Source organism: Homo sapiens, chromosome 12 (genome assembly GCF_000001405.40).
Source record: "Homo sapiens chromosome 12, GRCh38.p14 Primary Assembly".
Lineage (NCBI taxonomy): Eukaryota > Metazoa > Chordata > Mammalia > Primates > Hominidae > Homo > Homo sapiens.
The window spans coordinates 7727938-7755808 of record NC_000012.12 but is presented as its reverse complement, the minus strand read 5'-3'; the positions used below and the strand labels follow the sequence as shown (position 1 = coordinate 7755808).

At 46.2% G+C, this 27871-nt stretch overlaps 1 protein-coding gene across 5 annotated transcripts, besides 4 other annotated features; it reads left to right on the top strand.

Moving 5' to 3' along the window:
- Nucleotides 6119-6198: an enhancer, noted in NCBI's record as "active region_5922". NCBI's record gives its function as "activates an Ori minimal core promoter by ATAC-STARR-seq in GM12878 lymphoblastoid cells {active_cell/tissue: GM12878}" and the evidence as "EXISTENCE:reporter gene assay evidence [ECO:0000049][PMID:35858748]".
- Nucleotides 6268-26426, top strand: CLEC4C (C-type lectin domain family 4 member C). 5 transcript variants are annotated; one of them, XM_024448873.2, is made up of 7 exons: nt 6268-6696; nt 8326-8491; nt 9386-9478; nt 14278-14388; nt 18235-18380; nt 24897-25012; nt 26069-26426. In XM_024448873.2, the coding sequence occupies exons 2-7, from the start codon at nt 8461-8463 to the stop codon at nt 26211-26213; spliced, it is 642 nt and encodes a 213-aa protein (XP_024304641.1). In that variant the 5' UTR covers nt 6268-6696; nt 8326-8460; the 3' UTR covers nt 26214-26426. The 5 variants fall into 5 exon arrangements, with proteins under 5 accessions (XP_024304641.1, NP_569708.1, NP_001358320.1 ...); NM_130441.3 differs by having other exon boundaries at nt 8331-8491; nt 26069-26364; NM_001371391.1 differs by lacking the exon at nt 14278-14388 and having other exon boundaries at nt 8331-8491.
- Nucleotides 6379-6558: an enhancer, noted in NCBI's record as "active region_5921". NCBI's record gives its function as "activates an Ori minimal core promoter by ATAC-STARR-seq in GM12878 lymphoblastoid cells {active_cell/tissue: GM12878}" and the evidence as "EXISTENCE:reporter gene assay evidence [ECO:0000049][PMID:35858748]".
- Nucleotides 6579-6658: an enhancer, noted in NCBI's record as "active region_5920". NCBI's record gives its function as "activates an Ori minimal core promoter by ATAC-STARR-seq in GM12878 lymphoblastoid cells {active_cell/tissue: GM12878}" and the evidence as "EXISTENCE:reporter gene assay evidence [ECO:0000049][PMID:35858748]".
- Nucleotides 18269-18469: a silencer, noted in NCBI's record as "peak1561 fragment used in MPRA reporter construct". NCBI's record gives its function as "represses an SCP1 promoter by STARR-seq MPRAs in K562 erythroleukemia cells {active_cell/tissue: K562}" and the evidence as "EXISTENCE:reporter gene assay evidence [ECO:0000049][PMID:32103011]".
- Nucleotides 26427-27871: the final 1445 nt, after the last annotated feature.

The following is a 27871-nucleotide window of genomic DNA, read 5'->3' as shown; positions in this document are numbered from 1 at the left end:
GTAGATTTTACCTTGATTCAAACAGGCATTGAGTTTGTTCAAAACTAATTTCAAAATTTTAGGCCAGGCTCAGTGGCTAACGCCTGTAATGGAAGTTACAGGCCATTTGGAAGGCCGAGGCGGGCGGATACCTAGAGTCCAGGAGTTTGAGACCAATCTAGGCAACATAGCAAAATTCTGTCTCTACTAAAAATACAAAAATTGGCCGGGCGCGGTGGCTCACACCTGTAATCCCAGCACTTTGGGAGGCCGACGCGGGTGGATCATGAGGCCAGGAGTTCGAGAGGAGCCTGGCCAAGATGGTGAAATCCCGTCTCTACTAAAAATACAAAAATTAGCTGGGTGTGGTGGCGCACGCCTGTAGTCCCAGCTACTTGGGAGGCTGAGGCAGGAGAATCGTTTGAACCCAGGAGGCGGAGGTTGTGGTGAGCTGAGATCGTGCCATTGCACTCCAGCCTGGGCGACGAGAGTGAAACTCCGTCTAAAAAATAAATAAATAAATAAAAATAAAAATACAAAAATTAGCTGGGCAGTGGCTCATGCCTATAATCCCAGCTACTTGGGAGGCTGAGGCACGAGAATTGCTTGAACCTGGAAGGTGGAGGCTGCAATCAGTTAAAATGCACCACTGCATTCTAGCCTGGGTGACAGAGCCAGACAAGACTTCATCTCAAAAATAAAAAAATAAAAAAAATAGCCGGGCATGGTGGCTCACGCCTGTAATCCCAGCATTTTGGGAGGCCAAGGCCAGCAGATCACCTGAGGTCAGGAGTTTGAGACCAGCCTGGCCAACGTGGTAAAACCTCGTCTCTACTAAAAATACTAAAATTGGCCAGGAGTGGTGGCGCGCACCTATAGTCCCAGCTTCTCAGAAGGCTGATGGAGGAGAATCGCTTGAACCTGGGAGGCAGAGGTTTCAGTGAGCTGAGATCAGGTCACCGCACTCTAACCTGGGCAACAGAGGAAGACTCTGTCCTAAATAAATAAATAAATAAATAAATAAATATATAACAAACTGGATTTCATTCTTTATGAATTAATAGTCTCTTCTTGGGCCAGGCACAGTGCCACATGTCTGTAATCTCAGCACTTTGGGAGGACAAGGTGGGCGGATCGCTTGAACCTAGGAGTTCGAAACCACCTTGGGCAACCTGGTGAAACCCCATCTCTACCAAAAATGCAAAACTTAACTGGGCATGGTGGTGTGTGCCTGTAGTGCCAGCTACTTGGGAGGTTGAGGTGGGAGGATGGCTTGAGCTCAGGTGGTGGAGGTTACAGTGAGCCAAGATTGGGCCACTGCACTGCAGACTGGGCAATAGAATGAGACCCTTACTCCAAAAAAAAAAAAAAAAAAAAGGTCCATTCTCAGCTCTTCATTATTCATAGAGGAGTCCTTGTCTAAAGTTTTATTATTTAGTTACCAGCCTCCCAGTTGTACAGACACTGCACAGACACTCAGTCCTTCAGTCACTGCTGAAGAGCCAGCAGATGCCATGTCCAGCTTTCTCTCTCTCTAGGGTCTTGGCTCCTGAAATTCCTTGTTCTGTGGAAGCCTCTCTGATGCTTCCTAATAGTTTTTTTGTATTGATCCAGCTTTCCTGGTTGGTCTCAGCAAACAATTGGTCTGCCACAAGCTATTTAAGCCACAATCCAAACTGGAAGTTTCTGCTTCTCATTTTTGAGGTTGGCTTTCATTTCCTCATTGATTTAAAAATTCTAAAAAATACATGCTGTCCATGAGCCCTGGTGCTTCTTTTTAGGGAAAGCCAAAATTTAGTAGTAGCATTTTAAAAATCAATCAGATTTTTAAAATGAAATAGATGCTAAAAGTGATAAAGAACTACCAGGCACGGTGGCTCATGCCTGCAATCTTCCGGGTTCACTCCATTCTCCTGCCTCAGCCTCCTGAGTAGCTGGGACCACAGGCGCCTGCCACCACGCCCGGCTGATTTTTTGTATTTTTAGTAGAGACGGGGTTTCACTGTGTTAGCCACGATGGTCTCCATCTCCTGACCTCATGATCCGCCCGCCTCGGCCTCCCAGAGTGCTGGGATTACAGGCTGAGCCACCGCGCCCGGCCCCCTTGGCTTTCTTGACACTTGGTGTTATGGTCTGAATGTTTGTGTCTCCCCAAAATTCATATGTTGAAATCCTAACCTCCAAGGTGATAGTATTGGAGGTGGGGACTTTGGAAGGTGATTAGGTCATGAGGGTTCAACCAAATGAGTGAAATTAGTGCCCTTATAATAAAAGACCCCAGAAAGCTGGCTCATCCCTTCCACCATGTGAGGACACAGCAAGAAGGAGCCATATATAAACCAGAAAGTGGGCCTTTGCCAGACACCAAATCTGCCAGTGCCTTGATCTTGAACTTTCCAGCCTCCAAAACTGTGAGAAATAAATTGCAGCTGCTATTGGCCACCCAGTTTACAGTATTTTCTTATAATAGCCTGAATGGGCCGGGCCTGGTGGCTCATGCCTGTAATCCCAGCACTGTGGGAGGCCAAAGTGGGTGGATCACCTGAGGTCAGGAGTTCGAGACCAAGCCTGGCCAACATGGTGAAACCTCATCTCTACTAGAGATACAAAAATTAGCTGGGCGTGGAGGCATGCGCCTGTAGTCCCAGATACTGGGGAGGCTGAGGCGGAAGAATCACTTGAAGCCGGTAGGTGGAGGTTGCAGTGAGCCAAGATCGTGCCACTGCACTGCAGCCTGGGTGACAGAACGAGACTCCATCTCAGAAAAAAAATAATAATAGCCTGAATGGACTAAGACACTCACTTTTCCTATTTCTCTGGATATTCTTCTTTGTCTCTTTTGCCACTTCATCCTCTGCAAACAATACATTCAAAGTTGGACTTTTTTTTTATTATTATTTTTTTGAGACGGAGTCTTCCTCTGTCGACTCTGTCTCAAAAAATAAATAAATAAAAAAATATAATCTGATCCTTTCACCACATTGCTTTAGTGCCTTTAATGGCTCTTTCTGCTATTGGATAAGTTAAACTCTCACTTCACCCTGCGTGGTCTGACCACTAACTTCCTCTTACACAAGCCCAATATCTCCACCTGGCTAGCTATAAAATAGAATCTTAAACCCTAAGGACTGCTTTTCTCATTGGTTTCTTTCTTTCTTTTGAGACAGAGTCTCCCTCTGTCACCCAGGAGTGCAGTGGCGCAATTGAGAGGTGACAGCGTGCTGGCAGTCCTCACAGCCCTCGCTCGCTCTCAGCGCCTCCTCTGCCTAGGCTCCCACTTTGGCGGCACTTCAGGAGCCCTTCAGCCCACCGCTGCACTGTGGGAGCCCCTTTCTGGGTTGGCCAAGGCCGGAGCCGGCTCCCTCAGCTTGCAGGGAGGTGTGGAGGGAGAGGCGGGGCTGCGCGCGGCGCTTGCGGGCCAGCTGGAGTTCCGGGTGGGCGTGGGCTTGGCGGGCCCCGCACTCGGAGCAGCCGGCCGGCCCTGCCGGCCCCGGGCAATGAGGGGCTTAGCACCCGGGCCAGCGGCTGCAGAGGGTGTACTGGGTCCCCCAGCAGTGCCAGCCCACCGGCGCTGCACTTGATTTCTCACCGGGCCTTAGCTGCCTTCTCGCGGGGCAGGGCTCGGGACCTGCAGCCCGCCAAGCCTGAGCCTCCCACCTCTCCCCCGCCATGGGCTCCTGTGCGGCCGAGCCTCCCCGATGAGCGCCACCCCCTGCTCCAAGGCGCCCAGTCCCATCGACCACCCAAGGGCTGAGGAGTGCGGGCGCAAGGGCGCGGACTGGCAGGCAGCTCCACCTGCAGCCCCAGTGCAGTGATCCACTGGGTGAAGCCAGCTGGGCTCCTGAGTCTGGTGGGGCCGTGGAGAACCTTTATGTCTAGCTCAGGGATTGTAAATACACCAATAGGCACTCTGTATCTAGCTCAAGGTTTGTAAACACACCAATCAACACCCTGTGTCTAGCTCAGTTTGTGAATGCACCAATCGACACTCTGTATCTAGCTGCTCTGGTGGGGCCTTGGAGAACCTTTATGTGGATACTCTGTATCTAACTGATCTGACGGGGACGTGGAGAACCTTTATGTCTAGCTCAAGGTTTGTAAACGCACCAATCAGCGCACTGTCAAAACAGACCACTCGGCTCTACCAATCAGCAGGACGTGGGTGGGGCCAGATAAGAGAATAAAAGCAGGCTGCCCGAGCTAGCAGTTGCAACCGGTTGCGAGTTGCTTTCTGTGCTGTGCAAGCTTTGTTCTTTCGCTGTTTGGGTCCACGGTTCTTTTATGAGCTGTGATACCGCGGAAGTCTGTAGCTTCACTCCTGAAGCTAGCAAGACCACAAGCTCGCCGAGAGAAACGAGTAACTCTAGACGTGCCATCTTAAAAGCTGTAACACCGCGAGGGTACGTGGTTTCATTCTTGAAGTCAGTGAGACCAAGAACCTATCAATTCTGGACACACGATCTCGGCTCATTGCAATCTCTGCCTTTGGGTTCAAGTGATTCTCCTGCTTCAGCCTCCTGAGTAGCTAGGATTACAGGCTAGTGCCACCACACTAAGCTAATTTTTGTATTTTTAGCAGAGATGGGGTTTCATCATGTTGGGCAGCCTGGTCTTAAGCTCCTGACTTCAGGTGATCCACCTGCCACACACTTCCAAAGTGCTGGGATTACAGGTGTGAGCCACTGTGCCTGGCCTCTTACTGGTTTCTTTGCTTGATAATATGTTGCAAATATATAACATTATTCACATAGAAATCTTTTTCTGAAGGCGTAAATACTGACATATTGGGGAGGTTTCTTTTTCTTCTTGGTTTTTATTTTATCTTAGAGGTAGGGTCTTTGTCACTCAGGCTGGAGCACCGTGGCTTGATTATAGCTCACTGCAGCCCTGATCTCTAAGGCTCAGGTGATTCTCCCACCTCAGCCCCTCAAGTAGTTGGGACTACAGGTACATGCTACCATACCTGGCTAATTTTTGTTTGTTTGTTTGTTTGTTTTTTTTTTTTTGGTAGAGAGAAGGTCTCACTATGTTGCCCAGGCCTCAAGTAATCCTCCTGCCTTTGCCCCACAAAGTGCTGGGATTACAGGTGTGAGGCATTGTGGCCAGCCAATAAGTTTTAAGTGGAAGAGAGTGGTTGTCTTTTAATGTTATAGCTGGAGTGATTTGGTGATTTCCTGGCACACAGGTTTTTAAAAGCATGTACACAATAGGGTTTGTTTTCTTGCTACTACTGGAATCCTCCTGCCACAATGTACGTAAATCCAGGCTAATCCGCTAGAGGATGACCAAAGAGAGACGTGAATCAGCCAGCCCCACCCAGCCCACCAGCTTATTGCAGAGTGAGCTCAGCTGAGATGGAACCGATCCGATCCAATCCAAACCAGAATCACCCAGTGGTGTTCAGCCCAAATTGCTGACTCTCGGGAACTATGAACTAATTGAATAGCTGTGTATTTTAAGTTTTAAGTTAATTGATTATACAGCAAAACCTAACTGATGCCCTGTCCTGATTCCAAACACTGGGTACTCATGTTAAAAGAGCATCACCGGCCAGGCATGCTGGTTTACATCTGTAATCCTAGCACTTTGGGAGACCAAGGCAAGAGGATCACCTGAGCCCAGGTGTTCGAGATCAGCCTGGGAAATAACATAGCGAGACCCTGTCTCTACAAAAAAAATTTAAAAGATCCCCAGGTGTAATGACGTGTATCTATAGTCCCAGTTACTCGGGAGGCTGAGGTGGGAGGATCACTTGATCCCAGGAGGTCAAGGCTACAGTGAGTGAAGGTCGAGACACTGCACTTCAGTCTGGGCAACAGACTGATATCCTGTCTCAAAAACAAAAAATGGCCAGGCATTGTGGCTCACACCTGTAATCCCAGCACTTTGGGTGGCTGAGGTGGGCGGATCACCTGAGGTTGGGAGTTCAAGACCAGTCTGACCAACATGGAGAAACCCTGTCTCTACTAAAAATACAAAATTAGACAGTCGTGGTGGCGCATGCCTGTAGTCCCAGCTACTCGGGATGCTGAGGCAGGAGAATTGCTTAAACCCGGGAGGTGGAGGTTGCAGTGAGCCAAGATTTAGCCACTGCACTCACTCCAGCCTAGGTGACCAGAGAAAGACTCCATCTCAAAAAAAAAAAATATTTCTGTTTCTCACTCAGCCAGTTTCCATCTCAGCTGGGCCAGCTGCACTCCACCTGGTCCTCAAGCTAATAGATTTCACTTCCCTGAAGGCCCACAAAATCTTTTTTTTCTCTTTTTTTTTTCGTTGACACAGAATCTCACTCTGTCACCCAGGCTGGAGTGAAGTGGTACGATTACGGCTCACTGCAATCCCTGCCTCCCAAATTCCAGTGATTCTCGTGCCTCAGCCTCCTGAGTAGCCGAAATTACAGACGTGTGCCACCATGCTTGGCTAATTTTTTGGATTTTTAGTAGAGATGGGGTTTCACTATGTTGGCCAGGCTAGTCTTGAACTCCTGGCCTGAAGCAATCCGCCCACCTCAGCCTCCCAAAGTGCTGAGATTATAGGCACGAGCCACTACACCTGGCCACAAAATTCTTTAAAGAAGCCAATCCCATCCTCCCTCAAGAGCCAAGGGGCCACCTCACCCTCTTGTTACAGCAGATCCTGCCTCCCACAGTCACCCTGCTCCCAAGTGCAACCTCTGTCTGACCCTGCATGGTGTGCGGTGCCCTCCTGCCTCAGGCCGTGAGTACATGCAGCTGAACTGCTGTCAGTCTTATCTGTCCAGTGTCGGGTGTTGTGTGTCCAGCCACCCATAACCCTGGGTTGGGACTCCCTCCCTCACCAACCGGGGGAAGAAGTAGTGAGCAAACCATCTACCAATTCTTATCTAGATTTATCCTCTTCAGCTGTAGCTTTTGCAATACTCTGGTCATACTCAAAGCATTCTGCTGGGATGTCACCTGAGCTGGGCCTACATGCAATTCTGCTTTTCTTCTGAGAAAATAATTTGTCATTCTTTCTGCTTTTATAATTTGTTCTATTTTAAATTATTTTTCTCATTTTTGCCTTTGCTCCTTTCTTCTCAGCATTGTATACTCAAAGGAATACCCTCATACTCTACATTTTAATCCAAGACAGAGGAAAGCAACAGGGAGAACCCCTGAGGCAGGGGCAGAGGGAGGTTCAGGGAACTGTAAATGGGAGGTAGACAAGAGACCAAACAGGACTTTAAGTTGTTTCAGCAAGTATACAGCTTAGAAAGGATCTCATTGGTCTGGGTCCTAAAATATCTCAAAGGATGGCTGCTAACTCAAAACTTTTTTTTTTTTGAGACTGAGTCTTGCTCTGTCACCCAGGGTGGAGTGCAGTGGCACGATCTCGGCTCACTGTAAGCTCCGCCTCCCGGGTTCAAGCAATTTTCCTGCCTCAGCCTCCTGAGTAGCTGGGACTACAGGCATGCACCACCACACCTGGCTAATTTTTGTATTTTTAGTAGAAACGGGGTTTCACCATGTTGGCCAGGATGGTCTCGATCTCTTGACCTCGTGATCCGCCCACCTCAGCTTCCCAAAGTGCTGGGATTATAGGCATGAGCCACCGTGCCCAGCTCAAAACTTTTTTCTCACTACTCTACAATTAAATCTCAGTTGAACTCTGGGAAGATTCTGGAATACCTAGGTTCTTTCTTTCTCAGTGTCTATTTCACCAGTAGTTGTAACCATCCTTCAACCAAACATCTCCATTTGAGTAGCATAGGCTATAATGGATTTTCTCTATTTAAGATTACTCAGCAGTGGCCGGGCACGTGGTGGCTCACAACGGTAACCCCAGGACTTTGGGAGGCTGTATTAGTCCGTTTTCATACTGCTGATAAAGACATACCTGAGACTGGGCAATTTACAAATGAAAGAGGCTTTTTTTTTTTTTTTTTTGGAGATGGAGTTTTGCTCTTGTTGCCCAGGCTGGAGTGCAACGGCAGGAGGTCAGGAGTTCGAGACAAGCCTGGCCAGTATGATGAAACCCTGTCACTACTAAAAATACAAAAATTAGCTGGGCATGGTGGCACATGCCTGTAGTCCCAGCTGCTCGGGAGGCTGAGGCAGGAGAATCGCTTGAACCCGCGAGGCAGAGGTAGTAGTGAGCTGAGATTGCACCACTATACTCCAGCCTGGGTGGCAGAGTGAGACCCTGTCTAGAAAAAAAAAAAAAAAAAAAAAAAAAAGACAATCAGACCTGCAACCATGAACTGTTTTTCATGTATTTCTCGATTTCCTTGTTTGTGTTTCCTTATTTCTGAACATGATGTATGTTTTAAATTGAAAGCTTTAGCTCACTGCAGAGTCTCCTAAGTCACATCTCTTCCTTTGCAAGAGTAGGCGAAGAAGGATCTAAGGGCTTGGCTTGTTTGAAAGAACCACACCCCGAAAGTAACATCTTTGGAGAAAGTGATACAAGAGCTTCTGCACCCACCTGATAGAGGAAGTCCAAAGGGTGTGCGCACACACAATGGTGCCTGAAGAAGAGCCTCAAGACCGAGGTAAGCACTCATCTTCTCAGTTCTAGGGAAGGTAGTAGGAGCAGGATGGAGTGGGAAACAGGCATTGAGGTGATAGGGATGACTTTGGAAGAAGAAGTAGACAGCTTTTCATAAATAATAGTAATTTCAGTATGGAAACAGGTATGGACCCAAGATACTTGGATCAGGGAAAGATGAAAGAAAAAAAGAAAGGCCGGGCGGGCGCGGTGGCTCACGCCTGTAATCCAGCACTTTGGGAGGCCGAGGTGGGCAGAGCACCTGAGGTCAGGAGTTCGAGACCAGCCTGACCAACATGGAGAAACCCTGTCTCTACTAAAAATAGAAAATTAGCCAGGCGTGGTGGCACATGCCTGTAATCCCAGCTACTTGGGAGGCTGAGGCAGGAGAATCACTTGAACCTGGGAGGCGGAGGTTGCAGTGAGCCGAGATCGTGCCATTGCACTCCAGCCTGGGCAACAGGAGTGAAACTCCATCTCAAAAAAAAGAAAAAAAGAAAAACAACTCGGGCCTAGAAGGCCTTAAAGGAATATGAATTTGGCCAGGCATGCAGGCAAATGCCTAAAGTCCCAGCTACTCAGAGGTTGAGGCAGGAGGACCACTTAAGCCTGGAAGTTTGAGGCCAAGGCTGTGCAATTCAAGGGAAAAGAGAGTAAGGAATTGGAAAGTACAGTTTACTCTGAGAGTTTTGCCTGGATTTGTCTTGGGTTCCAGGGTACTATCTGGTCATTTGTTCTGAGATAATTTCTATAATCTCTTTTTGCTTTCACATTTTTTCTGTTTTAATTAGTTTTGATCATAGCCTGACTTTATTATTCTAAGATTTTTGGGACTCTGGTTTCCTGGCTCTTTGGCAGTGGGGATTATGACTGTGCATTTGTCATGCTGATCTGACAGAGAAAGGACTCTGGTGGTTCCAGTTGAAGGTCTGGTCCATGGCAGTCGTATCCATCTTGCTCCTCAGTGTCTGTTTCACTGTGAGTTCTGTGGGTAAGTTCTTGGCTGGAGTGCAGTCATCTCTTGGTCCTTTTCCCAATCACATTTTATCAATTTCCTGAAGAAACACGTTCCTCTTTCTTTTTTTTTCTTTTTTTTTTTTTTTTTTTTGAGACGGAATCTCGCTCTGTCGCCCAGGATGGAGTGCAGTGGCGTGATCTCGGCTCACTGCAAGCTCACCTCCCGGGTTCATGCCATTCGCCTGCCTCAGCCTCCCGAGTAGCTGGGACTACAGGTGCCCGCCACCATGCCTGGCTAATTTTTTGTATTTTTAGTAGAGACGGGTTTTCACTGTGTTAGCCAGGGTGGTTTCGATCTCCTGACCTCGTGATCCGCCCACCTTGGCCTCCCAAAGTGCTGGGATTACAGGTGTGAGCCACCGCGCCCGGCCACGTTCCCCTTTCTTGACATAAAATGGCAACCCTAACTGAGAAGGCTATGTTTCTAATAAAATGAGTTATTACTATTATTAATTATTCTGGATAATTGTGTGTACTTCCAGGTTTCTTTGCCTGGTTTTAGTTGCATTTTTCAAATGTGATCATAACTGTCTTGGTCAGCTTGGGCTGCCATAACAAAATACCATAGACTGGGCCAGGCGTGGTAGCTCATGCCTGTAATCCCAGCACTTCGGGAGGCCAAGGCAGGCAGATCACCTGAGGTCAGGAGTTCAAGACCAGCTTGGACCATATAGTGAAACCCTGTCTCTACTAAAAATACAAAAATTAGCTGGGTGCAGTGACTCGCGCCTGTAATCCCAGCTACTTGGGAGGCTGAGGCAGGAGACTCAGTTGAACCCAGGAGGCAGAGGTTGCAGTGAGCCGAGATCACGCCACTGCACTCCAGCCTGGGTGACAGAGTGAGACTCTGTCTCAAAAAAAAAAAAAAAAAAAAAAAAAAGCATAGACTGAGTGAGTTAAAAAACAGATATTTATTTTCTGATGGTTCTGGAGGCTGGAAGTCTGACATGAGGATGTCAGGATGGTTGGGTATGGTGAGGTCCCTCTTCCTGGCTTACAGCTGATGCCCTCTTGCTGTGTCCTCACATGATGGAGGGAGTGCTAGCTCGTCACGGTTTCTTCTTATAAGAGCATTCATCTCACCATGAGAGCCCCCCCTCATAACCTCATCTAAACCTGATTTCCTCCCAAAGCCCCTATCTTCAAATACCACAAATTGGAGCTTGGGACTTCCATATATGAACTTGGGGAGGACGCAATTCATTCTATAACAATAACTCCACTTTGATGGGTGTGCTGATGGTGGGTACCATCTAGTTGATCTGCTCCTTTGTTTTAAAAAAGTCTCTATTGGGAACATAACTATTATTCTTTCTATGATGCTATAATTGTATTACTGTGGGGTTTTAATCTTCATGTGAGATTCTTCCCAACATGACAGGAAAAATTGTTCATATGGCCAGGCAGTGGCTCACACCTGTGAGCACTTTGGGAGGCTCAGGTGGGAGGATCGCTTGAGGACAGGAGTTCAAGACCAGCCTGGGCAACAGAATGAGACCCTGTCTCCATAAAAAATAAAAAATATAACTTGGCATGGTGGCATGTGCCTGTGGTCCCAGCTACTCAGGAGGTTGAGGCAGGAGGATCGCTTGAGCCCAGGAAGTTGAGGCTGCAGTGAGCCATAATCGTACCACTGCAATCCAGCCTGGGCGACAGAGAGACCCTGTCTCAAAAAATAAAAATAAAAATAAATGTTTATACAGTGATACAATGGAAAAATAAACAAAGTAAACTATTATTTAATTGCTACTCCCTTTGCCAAGTTTTATATTTTTGTGACACCTGAGAAATTTCCCAACTCTCTTGTTTACTATTTGGGTGTCAAAATGTGCTCTATTATCTAATATTATGATTAGAAACAGAAATGAAACATCTGTGAGGAAGTTACTGAATACGATGACTTCCTATGTCAAGTAAAAATGTGTTGATGATACAGTCTTCAGTTTCTTTCTAGTTGTAAATACATCTCACAGTTTTCAATGTAACCCCAAGAGGCAGAATTATTACTAAAGTTAAACTTTGCTTTGCTTTTTATAACAAAGGGCAAGAGACAAAAGGGCTTAAAGATGTGATATGGTTGGGATAGTTGTCCCTTCCAAGTCTCATGTTGAAAATTTGAAATTTGGAAGGGACAACTATCACTTGAAATTTGAAATCCCCACTGTTGGAGGTGGGGCATGGCAGGAGGTTTTGAGTGATGCAGATGGATCCCTCATGAATGGCTTGGCACCCTCCTCGAAGGAATAAGTGAGTTCTTGCTCTGAGTTGGGGTGAGATCAGCCCCTCCCCCTCACTCTCTCTTGCACCCTCTCTTGCCATGTGATATGCCAGCTCCCGCTTTGCCTTCCACTATGACTGAAAGCTTCCTGAGGCCTCACCAGAAGGTGAGCAGATGCTGGCACCATACTTACTGTACAGTCTGCAGAACTGTGAGCCAGTAAAATGTCTTTTCTTTATAAATACCAAGTCTCAGGTATTCCTTTATAGCAATGCAAAAACGGACTAATACAAGATGGTTATTTAATTATCTGAGAGGAAAGAAGACATGCAAGAACTTAAAGACATAAATTCAGAGAAAATAGAAGAGTTTGACTAGGTTTAGTCTCAAAATCAGAATGATGAAATACATGAATAAAGAATTAAGGCCGGGCGTGGTGGCTCACTTTGGGAGGCCGAGGCGGACGGATCACGAGGTCAGGAGATCGAGACCATGGTGAAACCCTGTCTCTACTAAAAAAAAAATACAAAAAAAATTAGCCGGGCGCGGTGGCGGGCGCCTGTAGTGCCAGCTACTCAGGAGGCTGAGGCAGGAGAATGGCATGAACCCAGGAGGCGGAGCTTGCAGTGAGCCAAGATCGCGCCACTGCACTCCAGCCTGGGCGACAGAGCAAGACTCCATCTCAAAAAAAGAAAAAAAAAAAAAAAGAATTAAGTGAGGATAAGTGAAAAGTCAGATCTTGCTCTATGTGCCTGCCAGTGAACAAAAGAGACCGTTTTTAGCAAAAGATGTCTAAATGTCTCCAAAGGGTTAGGTTTTACCTTATATTTAATTTGACCCAAATGGTTTACTTACAGTTACAGCCATCAGAAAACTATGGAAAAACCAAAAGACCTGTGATATTTCAGGATTAATAGAATTAGATGCTGTTACCTAGTAAGTCAACAAATGCTTACTGAACACCTACTATGAGCAGGCCACTTTTCTAGGTGCTGGGTATATAGCGTGAATACAATGAAATTCCTTCACTAGACTGTATGTTATTGTAGGGGGAAATCAAGATATATACGTATGTAAACTTATAAACAAACAAGATAAATGAATATAAGATAGGGTTAAGAACATATTTTTTACTGGACCTGCACAGAAAGAAGCATGAGAAAAAAACAGTACGGCTTGAAATGGGATGGGCAAGAGAGAGATGTTGCAGACTTTGTAAGAGCATAACGTTTATTTATTTATTTATTTATTTATTTATTTATTTATTTATTTATTTTTGAGATGGAGTCTCGTTCTGTTGCCAGGCTGGAGTGCAGTGGTGCGATCTCGGCTCACTGCAACCTTCGCCTCCCAGGTCGAAGTGATTCTCCTGCCTCAGCCTCCTGAGTAGCTGGGATTAATAGACACGTGTCACCACGCCTGGCTAATTTTTGTATTTTTAGTAGAGATGGGGTTTCACCATGTCGGTCAGGCTGGTCTCAAACTCCTGACCTCATGATCCACCCACCTCGGCCTCCCAAAGTGCTGGGGATTACAAGCATGAGCCACTGTGCCCAGGCTTTTTTTTTTTTTTTTCGAGACAAAGTCTGGCTCTATTGCCCAGGCTAGAGTGCAATGGCACGGTCTCTGCTCACTGCAACCTCCACCTCCCAGGTTCAAGTGATTCTCCTGCCTCAGCCTCCTGTAGCTGGGATTACAGGCATGTGCCACCATGCCCACCTAATTTTTGTATTTTTAGTAGAAACAGGGTTTCACCATGTTGGCTGGGCTGGGCTTGAACTCCTGACCTCAGGTGATCCACCCGCCTTGGCCTCCCAAAGTACTGGGATTACAGGTGTGAGCCACCATGCCCAGCCGTAAAGTCATAAGATTCTTTATTTTTATTTATTTATTTATTTATTTTTTTGAGATGGAGTTGCACTCTTGTCACCCAGGCTGGAGTGCAATGGCACGATCTCGGCTCACTGCAACCTCTGTCTTCCAAGTTCAAGTGATTTTCCTGCCTCAGCCTCTTGAGTAACTGGAATTACAGGCGCCTGCCACCACCCTTGGCTAATTGTTTTTTTGAGACACAGTCTTGCTCTGTCGTCCAGGCTGGAGTGCAATGGCGCGGTCTCGGCTCACTGCAACCTCTGCTTCCTGGGTTCTAGCAATTCTCTTGCCTCAGCCTCCCAAGTAGCTCGGATTATAGGTGCCCGCCACCACACCCAGCTAATTTTTGTATTTTTAGTAGAGACGGGGTTTCACCATGTTGGTCAAACTCCTGACCTCAAGTGATCCAACCAGCCTCGGCCTCCCAAAGCGCTGGGATTACAGGTGTGAGCCACTGTGCCTGGCCACCTGGATAATTTTTATATTTTTGGTGGAGACGGGGTTTCACCATGTTAGCCAGGCTGGTCTCTAACTCCCGACCTCAAATGGTCCTCCCACCTCGGCCTCCTAAAGTGCTGAGATTACAGGCGTGAGTCACTGTGCCTGTCCACAGCATAAGATTGTATAGTACAACATAGATCCACTTAAAAGAATGAGAACTAACTCCGATTTCTCTTTCCCAGTGCCTCACAATTTTATGTATAGCAAAACTGTCAAGAGGCTGTCCAAGTTACGAGAGTATCAACAGTATCATCCAAGCCTGACCTGCGTCATGGAAGGAAAGGACATAGAAGGTACAACTCTGCAATGGGCAACAAGACTTCCCTTGCTATTAATCAAATTCCTAGTCTGATGGTTTATATCTTCAGCACTAAAATTATCAACTGCAGCCTGGTTTTTCCTACTGCATTCTTTAACTATCTACTTGGTATCTTAAATAGACACCTCAGGCTGGGCCCAATGGCTCACACCTGTAATCCCAACACTTTGGGAGGCCGAGGTGGGTGGATTACCTGAGGGTCTGGAGTTTGAGACCAGCCTGACCAACATGCGGAGAAACCGCATCTCTACTAAAAATGCAAAAAAAGTCCGGGCGCGGTGGCTCAAGCCTGTAATCCCAGCGCTTTGGGAGGCCGAGGCGGGCGGATCACGAGGTCAGGAGATCGAGACCACGGTGAAACCCTGTCCCTACTAAAAATACAAAAAATTAGCTGGGTGCAGTGGCAGGCGCCTGTAGTCCCAGCTACTCGGGAGGCTGAGGCAGGAGAATGGTGTAAACCCAGAAGGTGGAGCTTGCAGTGAGCCGAGATCGCGCCACTGCACTCCAGCCTGGGTGACAGAGCGAGACTCCGTCTCAAAAAAAAAAATAGACACCTCAAAATTAAAGTATCAAACAGGGGTCCTCAGAACTGTCTCACTTCCTCCTGCTCCCATCAATATTAAAGCCTAAAACTCAAGAATCATTCTTAGCAGTTTTTTTCTCTTTTTTCTTTCTTTTCTTTTTTTTCTTTTTTGAGACGGAGTCTCACTCTGTCGCCCAGGCTGGAGTGCAGTGGCGCGATCTCGGCTCACTGCAACCTCTGCCTCCCAGGTTCAAGCAGTTCTCCTGCCTCGGCCTCCCAAGTAACTGGGACTACAGGCACACGCTGCCAGGCCCGGCTAATTTTTTTGTATTTTAGTAGAGACGGGGTTTCACCTTGTTGTCCAGGCTGGTCGTGAACTCCTGAGCTCAGGCAATCCTCCCGCATCGGCCTCCCAAAGTGCTGGGATTACAGGCGTGAGCCACCGTGCCTGGCCAGCAGTTTTTCTTTGCTTATCATCTTCACCCCTGCATCCAATTAATCACTAAGTTCAACAGTAAATATATCCCTCTCCCTATACAGTTCTGGATTAACTGAAAAATAAATATACACAGGATTCAGATAAGAATAAAATTATGCCTGGCATAGTGGCTCACATCTGTAATCCCAGTGCTTTGGGAGGCTGAGGAGGGGTAATCACCTAAGCACGGGAGCTTGAAACCAGCCTGGGAAACAAGATGGGACCTCAACTCTACAAAATACTTAAAAATAAATCACCCAAGCGCAGCACGGTGGCTCATGCCTGTAATCCCAGCACTTTGGGAGGCCGACGCGGGTGGATCACCTGGGGTCAGGAGTTCGACACCAGCCTAACCAACATGGAGAAACCCTGTCTCTATTAAAAATACAAAATTACCCGGGCGTGGTGTCGCATGCCTGTAATCCCAGCAACTCGGGAGGCTGAGGCAGGAGAATCACTTGAACCTGGGAGGTGGAGGTTGTGGTGAGCTGAGATTGTCCCAGCCTGGACAATAAGAGTGAAACTCCATCTCAAAAAAAAAAAAAAATTACCGAGCTATGGTGGCATGTGCCTATAGTCCTAGCTACTTTGGAGGCTGAGGTGGGAGGATCAGTTGAGCTCCGGAGGTTGAGGCTACAGTAAGCAGCAATTACACTGCTGCACTCCAGCCCGGGTGACAAAGTGAGACCCTGTCTAAAAAAAAGATAATAAATAAAATAAAATTATCAGCTTTATTGATGGTAAAATCAAACCATGAAATATGGCCTAGAGTGAGGCCAAACTGTTGCTCCCTAGTCCAGGCCTACTCACCTCCTCAGGGATAATTGGTCGGCTGTGTCCAGGATCAGGGACTGCCTACAGCGTCGTATGCAGAGCCGGAGGGAGACAAGTTCCACCCCAGAAATGCCTCTATGGCCTTAATCCTTTGCAGGAAGGAAATATGGACCCAAAGGGCATCAAACAATTATTTCAAGAATGAAACAGGCCAGGCGCGGTGGCTCACCCCTGTAATCCCAGCACTTTGGGAGGCCGAGGCGGGCGGATCACGAGGTCAAGAGATTGAGACTATCCTGGCCAACATGGTGAAACCCCGTCTCTATTAAAAATATAAAAAGTAGCTGGGCGTGGTGGCGGGCACCTGTAGTCCCAGCTACTCCGGAGGCTGAGGCAGGAGAATTGCTTGAACCCGGGAGGCGAAGGTTGCAGTGAGCCGAGATCACACCACTGCACTCCAGCCTGGGCGACAGAGCGAGATGCCATCTCAAAAAAAAAGAATGAAATAATTCATTCTTTACTTATAGGGAAAAACTGTGAGAGGTAAAAAGATGACAAGAGTTTCTTTTTCAAAACTACTGGTGGGAATCGAACAATGAGAACACTTGGACACAGGGTGGGGAACATCACACACTGGGGCCTGTTGTGGGGTGGGGAGGGGGGAGGGATAGCATTAGGAGATATACCTAACATAAATGACGAGTTAATGGGTGCAGCACACCAAAGTGGCACATGTATACATATGTAACCTGCACGTTGTGCACATGTACCCTAGAACTTAAAGTATAATTAAAAACAAAACAAAACTATCATAGGAGGCCAGGCTCAGTGGCTCATGCCTGTAATTCCAGCACTTCAGGGCAGCTGAGGCCAGTGGATCACTTGATCCCAGGAGTTCCAGATCAGCCTGGGCAACGAAGCAAGACTCTGTCTCTACAAATAATACAAAAAAAATTAGCTGGGTGTGGTGGCGTGCCCCTGTGGTTCCAGCTACTTGGGAGGCTGAGGTGGGAGGATCACTTGAATCCAGGTCAAGGCTGCAGTGAGCCATGGTTATGCCACTGCACTCCAGCTTAGATGACAAAGCATGATCCTGTCTCTAAAAAAATTTTTAAATATTTATTTTGGTATAATGTATGTCAAAATATAAAGAAAAACATTTTGATATGGTCTACATTGTCACTGTTTGTTAGAGGGAATGTATATAATCTCGTTTGTGCTGACAGTGGAAGAAACTGGTGCTTCGAAGGAGGAGAGATGGATATTTTTCAGCACGTACTGCTCTTAAGTGTTTTGCATGTATTATGTCACCTCAACCTCTCAACATTCTGAGTGAGAAATATTCCCATTTACAAACGAAAAGAAAAATATTTAAGGCTTAGAGTGGTTATATAATTTTCCCAAAATTACAGCACAGAAAATGAGGTTGCAACCCAGATATGTCTTACTCTGGACTCATTCTTTATAATGGGATGCTAAACTCTAAATGATATTTATATCTATAATTATTAGTGACAAATATAACATTGCGAAGCTTATTTTTGCTAAAGATGTGGACATGGTTCATATATGACCACCAATGAATGATGAGAACCTGAAGTTAAAGTATTTGTCTTTCAGATCATTTTTGTGGGTTTAAAGCAGGGCCTGGAAAACTAAGGCATGGGCCAAACTCAACAAGCTGCCTAGTTTTGTAAATGGCATTTTATTGCCATACTCATGTTCTTTTTTTTTTCTTTGGTAACATATTGCCAGTGGTTGCTTTCGTACTGCAGTAGCAGAGTTAAGCAGTTGCAACAGAAACCGTATGGCCCAAAAAGCCTGAGATATTTACTATCTGGCCTTTTGCAGGAAGTTTGCTGGTCCCTGTATAGAGTGAAATGATCTAGGGATTAGTAAATACACCAGTAAATGAGTTCAGCTTTGGAAAATCCGTGGAGATCCATAGGTGAAAACTAATTAAACCTTAGCAAGCTAAGCTTATAACTTTATGTGAGGAGAATTCTCTGTTAATATTTTTTCTTCTTCTATACTCATTTGGGAAGATTGGAGCTGCTGCCCAACCCCTTGGACTTCATTTCAGTCTAGTTGCTACTTTATTTCTACTGGGATGCAATCTTGGACTAAGAGTCAAAAGAACTGTTCTGTGATGGGGGCTGATCTGGTGGTGATCAACACCAGGGAAGAACAGGTATGTTCTAACAGGCAAGGTGGTCAGCTAATCTGTTTCCTTTCTTAACTGATAAAGAGTCTTTTTATTGCCCTGAAAGTTCAAAGACAGGAAAAAAAAAAAAACTTCTGGGTAAAAAAAAACCCAAAAAACAAAAAACACAGGAAAATCTCCTTAATCTGGAACACTCAAAAATGACTTTTATTTTTATTTTTTTTGGGGGGACTGTCTCCTTTTGTCACCCAAGCTGGAGTGTAATGGCACGATCTCAGCTCCCTGCAGCCTCCGCCTCCCGGGGTCAAGTGATTCTCCTGCCTCAGCCTCCCAAGTAGCTGGGAGGATAGGCATGTACCGCCACGCCTGGCTAATTTTTGTATTTTTAGAAGAGACGAGGTTTCACCATGTTAGTCAGGCTGATCTTGAACTACTGACCTCAAATGATCCACCTGCCTCGGCCTCTCAAAGTGTTGGGATTATAGGCGTGAGCCACCATGTGTGGCCAACAATAACTTTATTTTTTATTTTTATTTATTTATTTATTTATTTTGAGACGGAGTCTTGCTCTGTTGCCCAGGCTGGAGTGCAGTGGCACAATCTCAGCTCACTGCAAGCTCAGCCTCCCGGGTTCACACCATTCTCCTGCCTCCCAAGTAGCTGGGACTACAGGCACCTGCCACCACGCCCGGCTAATTTTTTTGTATTTTTAGTAGAGATGGGGTTTCACTGTGTTAGCCAGGATGGTCTGGATCTCCTGACCTCGTGATCTGCCCGTCTCGGCCTCCCAAAGTGCTGGGATTACAGGTGTGAGCCACCACGTCTGGCTAACAATAACTTTAATAAAACAAATTCCGGAGCAAACTTCAGGCAAACATTGATGTTGAAATTTGATCCTGAAGAATTTTAATTTTAAAAATATAAGAAAAAAAATTCAGGCAAATAAAATAGTGAATTTGAAAAATGGAAAAATGATATTAATATTTGCCATCTAAGAAATGTCAACCAATTAAACATTAGTCCTTCATACTGTATCCTCTGCATTTCTTACCTTCTTTTCAACATTTTCCATCTATTTTTCTCTTTGTACTTGATTTTAAACAGTTTCTTCTGTCCTTCTATTCCAGTTCACTAATCTTCTTTTTGTTTTTGAGACAGAGTCTCACTCTGTTGCCCAGGCTGGAGTGCAATGGCGCCCAGGCTGGAGTGCAATGGCACGGTCTTGGCTCACTGCAACCTCCGCCTCCCAGGTTCAAGCGATTCTCCTGCCTCAGCTTCCCGAGTAACTGGGACTCCAGGTGCGTGCCACCACACCCAGCTAATTTTTGTATTTTTAGTAGAGACGGGGGTTTCACCATGTTGGCCAGGCTGGTCTTGAACTCCTGACCTCGTGATCCACCCACCTCGGCCTCCCAAAGTTCTGGGATTACAGGCGTGAGCCACCACACCTGGCCCTCCCACTTGACTAATCTTCTTCAACTATGTCTATCCTGCTATTAAAGCCATATATTAACATCTAAATTCAATTATTGTATTTTTCAAATCTAGAATTGATCTTGCTTCTCTTTCAAATATGCTGTCAAACTTTATAATGTTCAACACTTAAGCTTGTTTTTTTGCTGTTACTGGTTTTTGCTTTTTTTTTCTTTTTTTTGAGATGGAGTCTTGCTCTGTCGCCAGGCTGGAGTGCAGTGGCTCGATCTCAGCTCACTGCAACCTCCACCTCCTGCGTTCAAGCGATTCTCCTCTCTGTCTCCCGAGTAGCTGGGATTACAGGCGACCACCACCACACCTGGCTAATTTTTGTATTTTTAGTAGAGACGGGGTTTCACCATATTGGCCAGGCTAGTCTCAAACTCCTGACCTCGTGATCTGCCTGCCTCGGTCTCCCAAAGTGCTGGGATTACAGGCGTGAGCCACCGTGCCTGGCCGTTTTTTTTTTTTTTTTTCTTTGAGACAGAGTCTTGTTCTATCGCCCAGGCTGGAGTGCAGTGGCAAGATCTCTGCTTACTGCAACCTCTGCTTCCTGGGTTCAAGCGATTCTCCTGTCTCAGCCTCCTGAATAGCTGGGATTACAGGCGCCTGCAACCACGCCCAGCTAATTTTTGTATTTTTAGTAAAGATGAGGTTTTACCATGTTGGCCAGGCTAGTCTCGAACTCCTGACCTCAGGTGATCTACCTGCCCCAGCCTCCCAAATTGCTGGGATTACAGGTGTGGGCCACTGTGCCCAGATCTTCTTTTTTTATTTTTTTGAGACAGAGTCTCTCTCTGTCACCCCAGGCTGGAGTGCAGTGGTGTGATCTCGGCTCACTGCAACCTCTGACTTCTGTGTTCAAGTGATTCTTCTGACTCAGCCTCCTGACCAGCTGGGATTACAGGTGCATGCCACCGCTCCTGGCTAATTTTTGTATTTTTAGTAGAGACAGGGTTACACCATGTTGTCCAGGCTAGTCTCAAACTCCTGGCCTCAAGTGATCAGCCTGCCTCGGTCTCCCAAAGTGCTGGGGTTATAGGCCTGAGACACCATGCCTGGCCTATGGAATGTTTCAAATTATCCTTGTGTGATGGATGTTGTACTTGAAAAATTATTTATAAAAATAATTGGAGGCCAGGCACGGTGGCTCATGCTTGTAATCCTAGCACTTTGGGAGGCTGAGGCGGGTGGATCACCTCAGGTCAGGAGTTTGAGACCAGCCTGGCCAACATGGCGAAACCCTTCTCTACTAAAAATACAAAAATTAGCTCGGCATGGTGGCACATGCCTGTAATCACAGTTACTCGGGAGGCTGAGGCAGGAGAATCACTTGAACCCAGGGGGCAGAGGTTGCAGTGAGCCAAGATCATGCCACTTCGTTCCAGTCTGGGTGAAAAAGCAAAACTGTCTCAAAAAAAAAAAAAAAATTGGAGGCCTCAGATATTATTCTCTTCCAAAGAGTATTTTCATTTGCTTTTGCCACATGCCTTGGCACAAGTCCTACAGTACATTATGGCAATTTCAGGGCTTGAAATTTCTACAATATCCAAATGATTCAAAGCCAGATCATAATCTATATGAGGTCTGATTTACTGCCTATTTACCCTTACCTCTTTCTTGGCTCTGGACTCTAATTTTTGCCTAACCGTACAAAGTTTTCAAAAGTGCTGTTCATCCTGTCTCCCCAGCCATGTTGTAAACTTTTATTTGTTTTGACTTCTTATGCCACATTTAGCACAGGGTCTGGGCAGACAATAGACTGCTTGAATGTTCAATGAATGAATGAATAGATAAATTGATATGGCGGAGAGGGAGGGAAGCACACAAACCACTAACAATGTCTCGTATATGTTCATGTACATTCAAAATAATCTGAAAACCTATGTCAAAATATCTTTTCTTGTTTGTACAACATTATTTGAGGCCTGGCGACGTGTTTCATGCCTGTAGTCCCGGATACTTGGGTGGCTGAGGCAGAAGAATTGCTTGAATCTGGGAGGTAGAGGTTGCAGTGAGCCGAGATCATACCACTGCACTCCAGCCTGGGTGAGAGAGCAAGACTCCATCTCAAAAAGAAACAAGTAAAACAAAACAAAATATATGACGGCTGGGTGTGGTGGCTCACGCCTGTAATCTCAGCATGTTGGGAGGCGAAGGTGGGCAGATCACTTGAGGCCAGGAGTTCAAGACCAGCTTGGGGGCCAGGTGCGGTGGCTCACGCCTGTAATCCCAGCACTTTGGGAGGCTGAGGCAGCTGGATCACAAGGTCAGGAGATTGAGACCATCCTGGCTAATATGGTGAAACCCCGTCTCTACTAAAAATACAAAAAATTAGCAGGGCATGGTGGCGGGAGCCTGTAGTTCCAGCTACTCGGGAGGCTGAGGCAGGAGAATGGCGTGAACCCAGGAGGCGGAGCTTGCAGTGAGCCAAGATCTCGCCACTGCACTCTAGCCTGGGCGACAGAGCAAGACTCAGTCTCAAAAAAAAAAAAAAAAAAGACCAGCTTGGTCAACATGGTGAAACTCCATCTCTACTAAAAATACAAAAATTAGCCAGGTGTGGTGGCATACACCTGTAGTCCCAGTTACTCAGGAGGCTGAGGCATGAGAATTGCTTGAACCCAGAAAGCAAAGGTTGCCCTGAGCCGAGATCACACCATTGCACTCCAGCCTTGGCAACAGACCAAGACTCCACCTCCAAAAAAAAAAAAAAATTTGGCTTTCTAAAATTTGATTATAGACCTCTATCTTTCTTGTAACACAGAACATGTACTGGTTAAGAATACTGGCTCTAGAGTTAGATCTCTGTTATTTATTAGTTGTGTGACGTTTGACAACTTTATCTTTCTAAATCTGTTTCCTGAGACTTAGTAAAATGGAGACAGCCACACTATCTTCCTCACAGTAGTAGTTGTAAAATTTACGTGAAGTAACTTATGCAAACTCATGGCATAATACTTGGCATATAGTAGACAATGACTAATTTTAACTACTACTATTATAAATATCTTTATTTTATTTTTTGAGACAGAATGTTGCTCTGTCCCTCTGTCGCCGAGACTGGAGTGCAGTGGCGCGATCTCCGCTCACTGCAGCTCCGCCTCCTGGGTTCATGCCATTCTCCTGCCTCAGCCTCCTGAGTAGCTGCCTGCCACCATGCCCGGCTAATTTTTTGTATTTTGGTAGAGACGGGGTTTCACCATGTTAGCCAGTATGGTCTTGATCTCCTGACCTCGTGATCCGCCATCCTCAGCCTCCCAAAATGCTTGGATTATAGGCGTGAACCACCACACCTGGCCATAAATATCTTTATTTTAAAGTGACCTGTGGTCGGGCACGGTGGCTCACGCCTGTAATCCCAGCACTTTGGAAGGCCGAGGAGGGTGGATCACAAGGTCAGGAGATCGAGACCATCCTGGCCAACATGGTGAAACCCCATCTCTACTAAAAATACAAAAAAATTAGCTGGGCATGGTGGCTCGTGCGTGTAATCCCAGCTACTCTGGAGCCTGAGGCAGAAGAACCGCTTGAACCAGGGATTTGGAGGTTGCAGTGAGCCGAGATCACACCACTGCACTCCAGCCTGGCGACAGAGTGAGACTCCATCTCAAAAAAATAAATAAAAAAAATAAAAAAATAAAGTGACCTGTGGCTGGACATCATGGCTCACGCCTGTAATCCCAGCACTTTGGGAGGCCTAGGCAGGCAAATCAACTGAGGTCACGAGTTTGAGACCAGCCTGGCCAACATGGTGAAACCCCGTCTCTACTAAAAATACAAAAATTAACCAGGCATGATGTTGCATGCCTGTTATCCCAGCTACTTAGGAGGCTGCGGCAGGATACTCACTTGAACCCGGGAGGCAGAGGTTGCAGTGACCCGAGATCGTGCCACTGCACTCCAGCCTGGGTAACAGAGTAAGACTCTGTCTAAAAAAAGAAAGAAAAAAAAGTGACCTGAAGCATTTGGAGTGTTCATGCAAAGTTGTTTTTTATTTTTGGGCAGGGGGTGGGTTTGCATTTTTTGGACACAGAGTCTCATTCTGTCACCCATGCTAGAGTGCAATAACGTGAGCTCGGCTCACTGCAGCTTCTACTTCCCAGGTTCAGGCGATTCTCATGCCTCAGCCACTCGAGTAGTTGAGATTACAGACTCCCTTTACAAGAAGAATATATTAGGAGTGAGGGAGAATTTCCTCACTACATGCAGAGTCTTGAAGAATGCTGTCACTTAGCAAAGAAATAGGAAAGCAAGTGTGACATGAGGATTTATGATGGCCATGGCTAGAGCGTGCTCCTGTACGTGCCAAACATCATGCTCACAAGTGATGTCTTTGATCCAGCCCTGCTCAGCCAGAGGCCTCTGCTGCTGGACAGGGGCCCTTTGTGGCTACTCCTGGGTCTTCTCCTTTTATTCTTTTCTTCCTATGGCGGTAAGAACTCAGTTCAACTTGAGTCCCCTAAAGGCTATTGTAAGAATTAAAGAAAGAGGAAAGAAATACGAAAGGTGGCTTGCCAGTCTATTTTAGAGAATTATTTTAGAGAAAATAAACCTGAGAGGAGCTTCTGGCTGAGTTAGATCAGAGGCCCACTCTCTTACAGACCAAGAGTTTTTAAGGATTCAGGGTGGGAGAGTTTATCAGAGGCTTGGACTGCTTCTGTGTCTCTTTGTTGTGCTTATCTGGGAGGGAGAGTTGTATGTCTGTTCCCATACATCTTTGTGCAGCTGCAGGCATATCCCCCCAGTCTGCCTTTAGCTTTCCTATCTTAGTGCACCTGAAGGGAAAGGAATGTGCTTATTAAGGCCCACTGTTTTACTGGGGTCCATTGTATGAGGGTGAAGTTTGGCAGTTACCCAAGAGACTTTTCCTCCACCTCCCTATGTGCCTGAGCTGTCTTATCTGTGTTTTGCTGTCTGCTCTTTCTGTCTGCTTGTAGTTAGAAGAGAAGTGATTTCCTTGAAATGCATGAGGCTAGAAAGGGAGCTGGAACTTAAAGTGGCGGTGTTCGTCCCAGATGAGGGTGCTCCTGCTCTATCAGCTATGACTCTTCCATTTTCTTCCCTCAGGATTTCATCATTCAGAATCTGAAAAGAAATTCTTCTTATTTTCTGGGGCTGTCAGATCCAGGGGGTCGGCGACATTGGCAATGGGTTGACCAGACACCATACAATGAAAATGTCACGTGAGTATAGAATGAGGTAAAGGACACTGGGTCCTGATCATGTAGGGGTTTAGGGTGTTCCATCAGCTATTAAGCAAACAAACAATAAAACCCACAACACTTTTTAAAACCTAGGTCTATTTGACATCAAGGGTTGTGCTTTTTTTTTTTTTTTTTTAGACAAGAGTCTCACTCCATCACCCAGGCTAGAGTGCAGTGGTATGATCTTGGCTCACTGCAACCTCTGCCTCCTGGGTTCAAGTGATTCTCCTGCCTCAGTCTCCTGAGTAGCTGGGATTACAGGCATGTGCCACCACACGCAGCTAATTTTTGTAATTTTAGTAGAGATGGGTTTCACCATGTTGGCCAGGCTGGTCTCAAACTCCTGACCTCAAGTGATCCACCTGCCTTGGCCTCCCAAAGTGCTGAGATTACAGGTGTGAGCCACCATCCCCGGCCATTTATGTATTTCTTTACAAATTTTAAAGCACTTTAGTACAGATTACCACTTTTAACATTTGTATCAACTATGTCAAATACGTAAGGACATTGTTCTAGTTCCCATTTTTTCAGATAGAAGAACTGAGAATCAGGGAAATTAAATTACTTGCACTAAATAACAGAGACTAAGTAGCAGATCCAGGGAATTTACCTAGTTCTTCAGACTCCAAAAGCAGTGCATAGAACCTGATTAATACTTGTGACTAGGGAAAAAAAATATTTGAATCATTTAACTCTGTGAGTTGGAATTTCTATGGCAATTGGACATAGGGATGGCTAAACTGAAGGAATCCTCTTGGACATCTGCCAGTAGGATGTTCAACATATGCTTGAGTTGATTAAGATGACAGAGTACTAGGTCATATGGGAACAGTTTTCAGGGGAAATACCAGAGACACAAGTGGAGAGGAAACTGCCTGAACATGAGGTTTTACAAAACGTGGCAGCAGAAGTGAGAAGGTGGTTTGGGTAGACGTGACCTTGACTTTCGCACTGTTTAACCCTAGCCCTCTCCCAGTCTCTAACCTTTTCCAAACCACGGTTTCAAAACACCACTGTCCTTTATCTACCTTTCAGATTCTGGCACTCAGGTGAACCCAATAACCTTGATGAGCGTTGTGCGATAATAAATTTCCGTTCTTCAGAAGAATGGGGCTGGAATGACATTCACTGTCATGTACCTCAGAAGTCAATTTGCAAGATGAAGAAGATCTACATATAAATGAAATATTCTCCCTGGAAATGTGTTTGGGTTGGCATCCACCGTTGTAGAAAGCTAAATTGATTTTTTAATTTATGTGTAAGTTTTGTACAAGGAATGCCCCTAAAATGTTTCAGCAGGCTGTCACCTATTACACTTATGATATAATCCATTCACACATTCATTTATTCATTTATTCATTTATTCATTCATAAAATGAGTGTTTAGTGAACATTTTTCTATGTGCCAGAGACTGCTGGAGAATGCTTTTGCAGAAAAACAGAGGGAGCATGAGCATCTGCTCTTCTTTTCTTTTCTTTTTTTTTTGAGACGGAGTCTTACTCTGTCGCCCAGGCTGGAGTGCAGTGGCACGATCTCGGCTCACTGCCAGCTCCGCCTCCCGGGTTCACGCCATTCTCCTGCCTCAGCCTCCCCAGTAGCTGGGACTACAGGTGCCTGCCACCACGCCTGGCTAATTTTTTGTATTTTTTAGTAGAGACGGGGTTTCACTGCACTGTGTTAGCCAGGATGGTCTCGATCTCCTGACCTTGTGATCCACCCACCTCAGCCTCCCAAAGTGCTGGGATTCCAGGCGTGAGCCACTGCGCCCGGCCACATCTGCTCTTATTTTCCGACAGCTGACGGGTGAAGTGCCTGTTATGGGCTGAATTGTGTCCCCTCAAATTCGTATGTTGAAGCCGTAACCTACAGTACTTCAGAATGGGAGTCTATTTGGAGATAGAACCTTATGAGAGGAAATTAAGTTGAAACGAGGACATTAGGAGCCTTAATTCAATCTGACTGATGTCCTATGAGGAAATTCAGGCAGGTAATGTGGCTCATGCCTATAGTCCCAGCACTTTGGGAGGCCAAGGCAGGAGGATCCCTTGTGTCCAGGAGTTCCAGACCAGCCTGGGCAATATAGCAAGACCCTATCTCTACAAAAATTTTTGTTAAAAAATTAGCCAGGTGGCCGGGTGCGGTGGCTCACGCCTGTAATCCCAGCACTTTGGGAGGCCGAGGTGGGTGGATCACGAGGTCAGGAGTTCAAGACCAGCCTGGCCAACATGGTGAAACGCCGTCTCTACTAAAAAACTCAAAAATTAGCCAGGCATGGTGGTGGATGCCTGTAATCCCAGCTACTCAGGAGGCTGAAGCAGGAGAATCACTTGAACCTGGGAGGCGGAGGTTGCAGTGAGCCGAGATCACGCCATTGCATTCCAGCCTGGGCAACAAAAGCAAAACTCTGTCTCAAAAAAGGAAAAAAAAAAAATAGCCAGGTATGGTGGCATACGTTTGTAGTCCCAGCTACTCAGGGGGCTGAGGTGGAAGGATCGCTTGAGTTTGAGGTTGCGGTGAGCTACAATCACGCCACTGCACTCCAGCCTGAGTGACAGAATAAGACCTTGTCTCAAGAAAGAAATTAAAGAAATAAGTAAAAGGATATTTGAACACACACAAAGACACCAGGGGTGTACGTACACAGAGGGCCGACCATGTGAAGACACAGCAAGAGTGTGGCCATCTGCAAGCCAAGGAGAGAGTCCTCAGAAGACACCAACCCTGCTGACACCTTGATATTGGACTTCCAGCCTCCACAATTGAGAGGAAATAAGTATTTGCTGTTTAAGTAACGCAGTCTGTGCCATTTTATTATAACAGCCCTAGCAAACCAATCA